Genomic DNA, 9526 nt, shown 5'->3' on the forward strand with positions numbered 1-9526 from the left:
ACCGCGTGCAGGGAGGTGAATCTGCCTCCATTTGTGGTCCACATTTGTGGTGTCCTTGCCCACAGCCATGTGCAGAGGGGTGAAGCTGTTCTTGCCCCTTGGTGCACACTTGAGCAGGTGGTAGATGGTCTGGTGCTTCAGGTGCTCCTGGCTAGGGGTGCACTCCACTTCCTCCAACAGATACAGAAGGTAGAGGATGATGTCCAGCGCCTTGGTGAACTGGGCCGCGTCTTCAGGCTCCTTGGGCAGCGGCAGCTCCTTGGGTCCTGGAAACGTTCCATTTGCCAGACCCCTTTCGTGAGAACCCCTATGAGGTCTGCAAAGCCAATTTGTATGCCCAAGCTGCTTTTGGCCGCCCGGTCCTGCAGCACGTAAGGAAAGAGTTCCGCGAAGGAGAGGAAGCTGCTGGCGGTCATGGGGCTCAGAGGCTGGCTGACCTGCTGCATGGCCAGGTCCCACTTCCGCAAGTGGATGCAGCGCTGGAAATTGCCGCAGGCCGCCTACACCGCGCCCCAGTAACGGATGTAACAGGAAGTGTCGGAGTGAGAGGCGCAGAGGATTCGCTAACAGATCAACAGGGTCTGTATGCGCATCTCATCTGGGTGGTTTATCAGAGCTTCCAAGTCTTCGGTGGTGTGGATCTCCCTGGAATAGCCATAGGCCAAGACCAGCCTCTGGGGTTCTGGTTTGGGCAGGTGACTCCATGGCTCGTCTCCAGTGTTTAAGGATCCCAAGCAGATCTCGCTTCTTTTCCACATACGTGGCTCCCAGAAATTCCAAGGCTTCCAAGGCAGCTTCCAAGGCAGCTTCCAAGGCAACTTCCGGGCTGGTGGGACAGCAGCTTTCATAGGATTCCCCGTTCAGTGGTTCCTCCGCGGAGGAGCTGCAGCATGGAGTCCCTGAGGCTGCGTGCACCCCTGGCTGGTGGAGGGCCTTCTTGAGGTAGCCCTGGCTGAGCCTCTCTCCCGGCGTCCTGCTCCTGGCTGGGCTGCTCCTGGATGAGGTACTCCACTATGCTAGTGTGGCCCGTCACGCTGGCAGCAGCAGCGGAGTCCTGCGAAGGCAATCCCATGCGGGTCTGCCACCACAGCAGCAGCTGCAGGCTCTCCAGGCTGCCAGACTCGGCTCAGTAGTGTAGGGCCGTGTTGCCACTGGCGCTGCGCCGGTTCACCTGGGCGCCCTGCTTCAGCAGGTAGCGGGCGATCTCTCGGTGGCCCTTGTAGCACAAGATCATGAGGCACATGTGGCCGTGCCGGTTGGCCACCTCCGGGTAGGTCTGGTTCTCGCCAGTGGCCATGGAAGCAGGCGGCGCTCAGGGGCGTGGAGTTGGTGCTCCTGGTGCGGTTCGCCGAGGCCCTGTGAGGCAGCAGGCTCCGCATCACGTCCAGGTGGCCGGCGGCAGAGGCGGCCCACAGCGGCGGCGAGCCCTCGATGGTCCCGCCACCGAAGGGTCCCTAGCCGTCAGCCTCCACCCTCGCGCCGCACCGGTTCACCGGGTATCCTACTGCGTCCAGGTGGCCGGAGCGTGCTGGGGGTGCACTCCACTTTCTCCAACAAGTAGAGCAGGTGGATGAGCAGCGGCGTCCCCCGAGCTGGCCACCTCGCCTGTCAGCTTGTCCAGCTCCTCCGGGCTCCGGCAGGTGAACACCTTCTAGAGCAGCTGCAGCTACCGTTGCGGGCGGCGTCGTACACCGCGGTGCGGAGGTACATAGTCTGGGCGCCGCGGGACACGGAGACAGCGGATTAGAGCCGGGATGGGCTGGCGGGCGGCAGCCTTCACCGTCTCCCCCGCCGCCACCTGAGGGGTTCCCGTATCATTTCGTCTATACATATTTACTGTATATATCTCTTAGAGAACCAAATCCTTTAAAAATAATCAAAATATTATCACATCTAAAAATATAGTTTTTAAAAAATATCAAGCGTCCATTGTTCACATTTCCTAAATTGTCTTACACATTGTTTATCCAGTGTGTACGTTTGAACTGAAATCCGAGTAAGATACAAACATTGCTGTTGGCTGATGTAGTTATACATTTTCCCCTTCACTTCTTTCCCTTGAGAGTCTTTGGCTGAAGAAGCTGGGTTGAAGAGATCTCAGTGTCAGGATTTTGCTGAGTGTGTCAGTTATAAAGATTACTGATAAAAAGACTTCAATGTCCGGTGGATTTCAGTGGGTTCCTTCTTATCGAGCTTTGCTTTTGAGGATGTGAGGTGAGGAAGAAACCCCCTTTACAGGGACCTTCTCTCTTTGGCCAGAACTGGCCTCCCTTGTGGAAGGAGGGGAAAAAGTGATTTCAAATGCTTTTGAGTATTAATCCCAATGTCCAGTTACAAAATCTGTAACTTATCTGGGAATTACCTTTAAGTGCATCATACTTATATAAGTAAAGTATATAAAAGAAACATAAAAAAATTGGAGGTAAATCATGTTCATGGATGGGATAATTTAATATTTTAAATATTTAAGGCAGTTGAATTAAAATCCCAGTAAACTTTTTTTTTTTTTGCGTTTGCATCTTCACTAGCTGATTTCCAGATGAACATAGATGAATGAATGTGTATAAATAGCTAAGCTAATTTAGAAAATGAGGAGTAGTAAGGGGGCAAAAAATTATCTGAGTTTAATTTATTATTCAAAGAAATAGAAATGAAAAAAATACACATAAATACACTTAGAATTTGATCTTTGGAAAATGAATGAGTTACTTAATAAATAGTGTTGGGAGACTTGGACAGAATATAAAGTATGGAATAGGAGGAAAAATTAAGTTAGAGAAGCAGGTAGATTTAAAAAATTAAATTTGAAAGCTAAAACTGTAAAGCTAATAGAAGAAAATTCAGAAATTTTTCTTTGTGATTGGGCATGTAGATAGATTCTAAAATAAATCCATCAGATAGAGTGACCTTGGACCATAAATAAATAATAAATCCTTCAAGTATAAACTATAAAGAGAAAAATTAATATATTTCATTACATCAGAATGAACTGTTACCTGGCTACCCTAACTTCTAGAGTCTGGAAAGGTGGCATTTTAGCTTTCTAGTCAGTACTTAATAAAGGACAATCAAAAACACCACAAACAAAATTTAGGAATGGGGTTTCATTTGGAGAAAATGAAAACAAAACTTAGGATAAGTGACAGTTTGAGAGAAGATCTATAATATATTTATCACCAAGAAATAATTAATATTTAGAATAATAAAATAAATTTTTGTAAATAAGCAAGAAAAAAACAACATAAAAAGTCAAAGATTATGATTAAGACATACCCTAATGGCTGACAAATGACATGCAAAAATGAGTTGTTTAACTTCATTTTAATCAACAAAATATAACTTAAAACTCTGAGATACTGCTTACTGAAGTGCAAAAAATTAGAACATTGCATATCAAATGCTGGTGGGACTATGGAGAGATGGGAAACCTCGTGTACTGCTGGGAGATATGGACTGGTATGGTCACCTTAGAAAGCTATAAAGCAGTACTTAGTGGAATTGATTCATTACTCTGTAGACCCTAAACACTATAGAAATTCTCACAAGCATGCACCAGAGATATTTAAGAGGATGTTTATCTCAGCATTATTTGTGCTAGCAAAGAACCAGGGGATACTTAGGCTAAATTTAGATTATACAGCAGTCACAAGAAATGAACAAAGTAGATATTTAGCCACATGAACAGATCTCGAAAACATAATTTTTGTAGTCTAGCACTATTTATGTAAATTACATGTACACAAATATTAATGTTCATATTTTAAAGACATTCACAGATATAGAAATATATATATTGGAGGTTGAAGGTACAAATAAAAATATTGGAGGTTGAAGGTACAAATATGAAATACTTTAGGTTGGGAGCCTGTGGAGGGGAAGAGAAATTGGATTGTATAAGATGGAGATAAAAATAAGATAAGAAACAAAGATAATGTGTCATGAATTGATGGCATGATTAATCCCATTAATCCCATTCTACCCATCTGACATGCCTACAATAAACAAGCTTATAAATCCACCAGCTTCTCTTGAGAAATAGGAAGATTTGACCACGTAAGATCTGGTATGGTGGAAGCCAGGAGGTGAGACAGATGTGGAGCAAGGCTTTGCAGCTCCCCTCCCCGTTGTCTATCACCAGTCAATGGAAGACAAGTTTATTGGTCTCTGGTTTCTGTAAGCATTTGTACTAAGGCCTCTGCTCTACAGAGGTGTGAAAACTTTATTCCAGAGGGGGTTTCAGGAGTAGGTGACCTCATGGGCATGGACCAGTTTCATAAGCCTAATGGAGTGAATTCATTTATCCTAAAAGCTGTTGCTATGCTGTTAAGTTGCCTGGGCTGAGAACCCCAAAGACAGAGCCATTCAGAAATTTTATAGGCACTGAAGTCAATATTCACCCTAGGCAGGACTCCCCCTGAAGATCCAAATAGATTAAGGGAAATAATTCTAAATGAAGTCCATAAGGAAACTTTTATAAGAGTGTAATATCTTCTTCCATCATGAATAATTCAGTTAAGAGACCTATGAAGAGCACACCTCTTTTCCCCTTTGACCGTTCTGCTATTGGAAATGGTCGAACTTTCAGTCCCTGATTAAAGTTTTCAATTTACCCCACTGAAAATGTGCCAATTAATTCTGACGCCTGTAGGCCCATGTCAGAAAGTAGCAGCTTTTCCAGTCACGACCTTGTTTGGTTAAAATGCTAAGAATGTTCTATTTTAGAATAGCTAATAACTTGAGACCACCTTCCAAAATAGACTCTTTGGGATGAAGTAAGAGAAATAATCTCAAAACAGCTTAAAAAAGATATTTTCTTTTTGAAAGAAAAGGGTTTGTCTGTAAGCCATAGGTGAAATAAGGTTAGTTACTACATTCATCACTGATGTATAACAGGTGGAAAAAGATTAAGAGAGCTTCAATAAAAGTGCTTACTTAGGGCAAAGGAAAGTCAAAGCAAACACAGGACCCCTCCATACATTGGTCATCTGTAGAGAATGTGTATTACTTTTCATAGGGCAGTATTAGCAAGAACAGTGAATCTAATGGACTTCACCTTATTGAATATCTTCTTTGTTAACAGAGACTAACAGCCAAGGCCCATTTTGCCAGAGTGTGTTAATATATTTTTTTTTAATGCTGTGCTTGATAATGTAAAAAAAAATAAATAAAAAATAAGTCTGCATTTAGCTATGTGTAGCTGTGGTCATATTATGGACTTGTGCCATGTTAGGGGAACCATTTTCTGAATTTCAACCCACTTTGCTGCCACCCAGGAGAGCAGTGACGTCAATATGCACTGGAGGTTAACATGCTTTGCAATAAACACTCACCATCATGACCCAATCCTGGTGAGCACCAGTTACTCCACATTGATAGCTGAAGGACTGAATTTGAAAGTCTGCTCTTACGTTACTAAAAACACATGGCTTCTAATATGAGGCAGTTTATTGCCAGTGGTGGTGTAGAATGATATAAAATGCAGACAAGCACCCAGATTTCAGGACTATGTATCATCATTCCCCGAAATGAACCAGTTCTCCCTTGAGGGGAGCGACTGCTTAACTTGGGCAGGAAGAGCAAGATAGATCTGGAACATCTTAGCTGAATGGGAGTGATGATGATACTTTCAGAAATTTCTGGGGTAGTGTTAAGAGGTGAAAAGAGGTCAGCCTTATAAAAATGAATAAGTGGCGACAAATGAAAGTCAACTATTACCACAATGTGAAACAGGTTGAGTTTAAACAGGAGCCTTGGTTTTATATATATATATCTCACACAAAATACAACAACAAAAACAACAGGTGTCTTGGCATGTGCTAAGAGGCTATGGAAAGACAATTGTATTAAACACAAGCATGCATTTTCAGCTGAAGAAAATATAATATATGGAATGAGGATATTGTGAGGATTATACTAAAATTGCTATTGGGAAAACGTTTTTGTTCATTTACTTAATAATGAATATCAGTAATCTCAGATGTCCAACTTTGGATTTGCCCCTTCCCACTCTCCTTATGAAAGTTTGCATGGGGTAACAGGTAACTCTGATCTGATGTTAAAGCCTCCACTGTTGGGTTGGCCATAACCTGACAGTTAACAGCTTCCCCTACTGATTCTTCATTGACAAGGAAGCCTGCTTGGAGTTAACAAGCTCATGGGAACAACTACCCTCCTCTGATATAGTAGCAAAGAGACAAGCGCTACTATAAAAAGGGCCAAGCTTCTTTGGTCAAACAGGGTTTTGCATAGCATGTCATAGCTATTCTGTCTGGTTACTATCCTGAGGTGCATCTCTTCCCCTCCATCTTTTCTCCAAGAAGCTTGGTTGTAGTGGGGAGTGTGTGTGTGCATGTGTGTGTATGTGTGTGTGTGTGTGTGTGCAGAAAGCACAGACCATAGTGCATATGGTGCCAGCCACATTCATCCTAAGGTTGAGAATTCCAGATGAAGAAATTATTCTGCCACTGGACTAATGGTAGATAGTTGTTGCTACTTCCATTTTTGTCCACTAGACCCACTAAATATGACTTTTCTGGCTATTATTTTTCTTGAAATCTAATGTTGAGGACTTAATATAGTGGAGCATTTGAATAGATTGACTTTAATATTACTATTTAGGAGTCATCTTCAATAATTTGGAAAGAAATAGTGCACCCTCTAGTGAACATTTTAAGGACTAGCATAGACCACTGTGCAAAACAGGTTGCATTTGGGTCAGTTAATGGGGAGTAACGTTACACATCCTTGGCACCCTTTAGTCTGTAGCTTACTGGTTGCCGTCTTTGTGGTAACATGAGGAGTATGAAGGACTAACCACAGGACCAGAAGACAACAATGGTTGGAAGAGGGGAGTGTGTATGTAGAATGTAGTAGAGTCCTTGCTGCTTCACTCTACTGCCCTTTGCAGAGTGTAGGAAGAATAGGGCAAAGTTTTGCAGGGAATTTGGAGAGACACTCTCACAGAAAAGAAAATCGGAGCATCTGGGTATCATGACATGGAAATATAAAAACGTGAAAAAAACCTGTGATCGTGAAATTAGAAAAATTATTTTAATTCTTATTAGACTAAAGTCACTTGGCATACAGAGAATTGGCTAAGTTGTGAAAAGCAGGAAGAAATTTTGCTCTTGAAATCCTATGATTTTGTCTTCACCGACCCCAGTCAATTAACTTTGGGAAGACTGTGGAATGGCAATATTTCCATGGAATGAGATAGAAAGTGTGATGGATAAAAGTGGCAGTATGGTTACCTAATATCCTAAAAGCCATTACTAGCAGATATTATTCTTTTCTATTTTTTAATTTTTTGAAGTAATGTTTCTTTTGACAATGTCCAAGTATCAATTTTTTTAAAATTCAGACAGATGTAATATATATGAACTAGGTTAAAAGTGTGCTCCGAAGGTAATAAAAATAGATCAATTGTTAGAAATAATAAACCCCATATATATAATTTGAATTGTTTGATTTGCAATGTATGTTTATTTATATTTTGAAACTAGTAAGGGCCTTTTTACTTTGTTCTTGTGTGACATTTCTGATGGGCTTGCCAGCAATTTGTTATTTTTGAAATCATGGTTACTTGCTCCAAACCTCCAAACAAGAATCTTTGTGAATTTGATTTATTAGAAAAGTTTTTGACTATATATACTTTGCAATTTATTTGGTTTTCTCTTAAAGCAAAATGTAAGATTAAACAGAACTCTATGCTATAAGGTTAAACATATAATTATATAGTATTTTTAAACAATCAAGTACTTTATATAAATTAGATGTAATAACTTTTAAAGAAATGTTATCCTGAAAGTGATTTTCTGTGACTTTGCCAGGAATTCACTGGGAAAGGGCACTAAAGAGGAAGTGTGCTCAGAAATCGAGATAGCCAGAGATTCTTTTTAATCAAAGGTACGTAGAAGCTCACCAGTTGCCCCAGAGACAGAAGTGAAAATCTTGCTAGACCACAGTAAAAGTTGGCTCAAATCTTCTCTAGGGTGAGAGGGAGAAACACACACAGGGGGATACCTAGTAGCGTTGGTAAAGTTCCAAATGGAATTAAATAAACTGGCCCTTTGAAATCAGAATCACAAATTAAATTATGCATTTTGGTTTTGTTTGGACATTTCCATACTGACTGATTGCTTTTCTTTTAAAGGACTCTTTTTTGGTGGAGGGGGTGAATTTAAACTGAGAAATTGTATATACTTGCTGGCAAGCTGCAGCTTCACTAACCATGTAACGCTAAATTTTGTGGGATGGAGGCATGGAGGTATACAGCCCAGTGACTCCCAGACTTAGTGAGCTTAAATGTTATGTGGAAAGACTGTCACAGATGTGTAGGCATCAAGCCCAGGGGTTCGGATTCAGTAGTTCTGAGAGGGGGATGAGAAGGCATCATTTTAAACAAGAACCCCAACCCCAGGTGACTTGGAAGCAACTGGTCTAGGGATTATCACTGAGAGAAACACCAGCTGACCTGAGGTCAATAATGTGGAGGTGTGCAACCATTTATAAATGAATTTATTGAGAAAAGTTCAGTGATAGTTATTTCTGAGAAGTCTGCACGTGTTTTGGAAAAATTGGGAGGTGGGCCAATGATGACTGAAATATAATTGCACTGGTATACAAATCTGAATGCATTACAAAATGCAGGCTCTTCAGGGCATGTGCTAGAGCCAGGGCAGAACTCCTCAGCCCCACTCTGCATTCTTGCAGCAGGGCTTCCATTCCTGCTCCTTCCTCTGCTGGGGATGCTCTTCTTCTTGTCCTCCTGACTTTCTCTAATCAGTCAGACTCTGCTATCTTGTCACCTCTCAGGAGCCTTCTATGAAACCATCAATAAAACTCCTTTCCCAGCCACTACCCTTCCCTTTTCCTACTTCATCTTTCTTTATAGCACTTGCAATTTGCTGAAATAATATTGTTGATCTGTTTACTTTTTTAGTGTTTCTTCTTTGAGACTAAACTCCAGGAGGTCAGGGATTTTGTTTGTTTCATGCGTAGCTGTATATCCAGCACCTAGAATTAAGTAGTGAAAGAAATCCAATTCCTTTTCCAATCAAAATTTAACTGGTTTTGTGGCCTATTTTCCAGGGGTTTGTGCTCTAATATGGGAGAATACACTGACTCCCTGAACAAGTCCATTCTTGAACCATGGGGAGTTCAGTGTTATGCCCATTTTCCCCAATGATTGAGAAACTTACTTTGATATTCCCTTTTACTCTTGATAGCTATCACTTTTTGAAAACTTGAGCTTGGTAATAGACAATGTATTTCTCACTGTCTTTAATACAATAGGTTAAAGATTAATGAATAAATATGGCATATCTTGAAATGAGATGTGTGTATTTAGCATTCATCTGAGTGTCACCACACAATGGTAGACGATGGATGGGATTAAGAGAGAATATTTGTCAGTGCTCATTCAGGAAAACAGCTCATGCCAACTAGTTCAATAGAAGGCATCCAATATGGGAAACTACAGCAGTGATGCAAGATCCAAAATGGCAGGAAGGGAAAAAAGAGGCAT

The 9526-nt window shown here is 41.5% G+C and overlaps 1 pseudogene; it reads right to left on the bottom strand.

The window, feature by feature from the left end:
* FEM1AP3 (fem-1 homolog A pseudogene 3) lies at positions 1-1533 on the bottom strand (annotated as a pseudogene).

This window comes from Homo sapiens, chromosome 6 (assembly GCF_000001405.40).
Source record: "Homo sapiens chromosome 6, GRCh38.p14 Primary Assembly".
NCBI classification, from domain to species: Eukaryota; Metazoa; Chordata; class Mammalia; order Primates; family Hominidae; genus Homo; species Homo sapiens.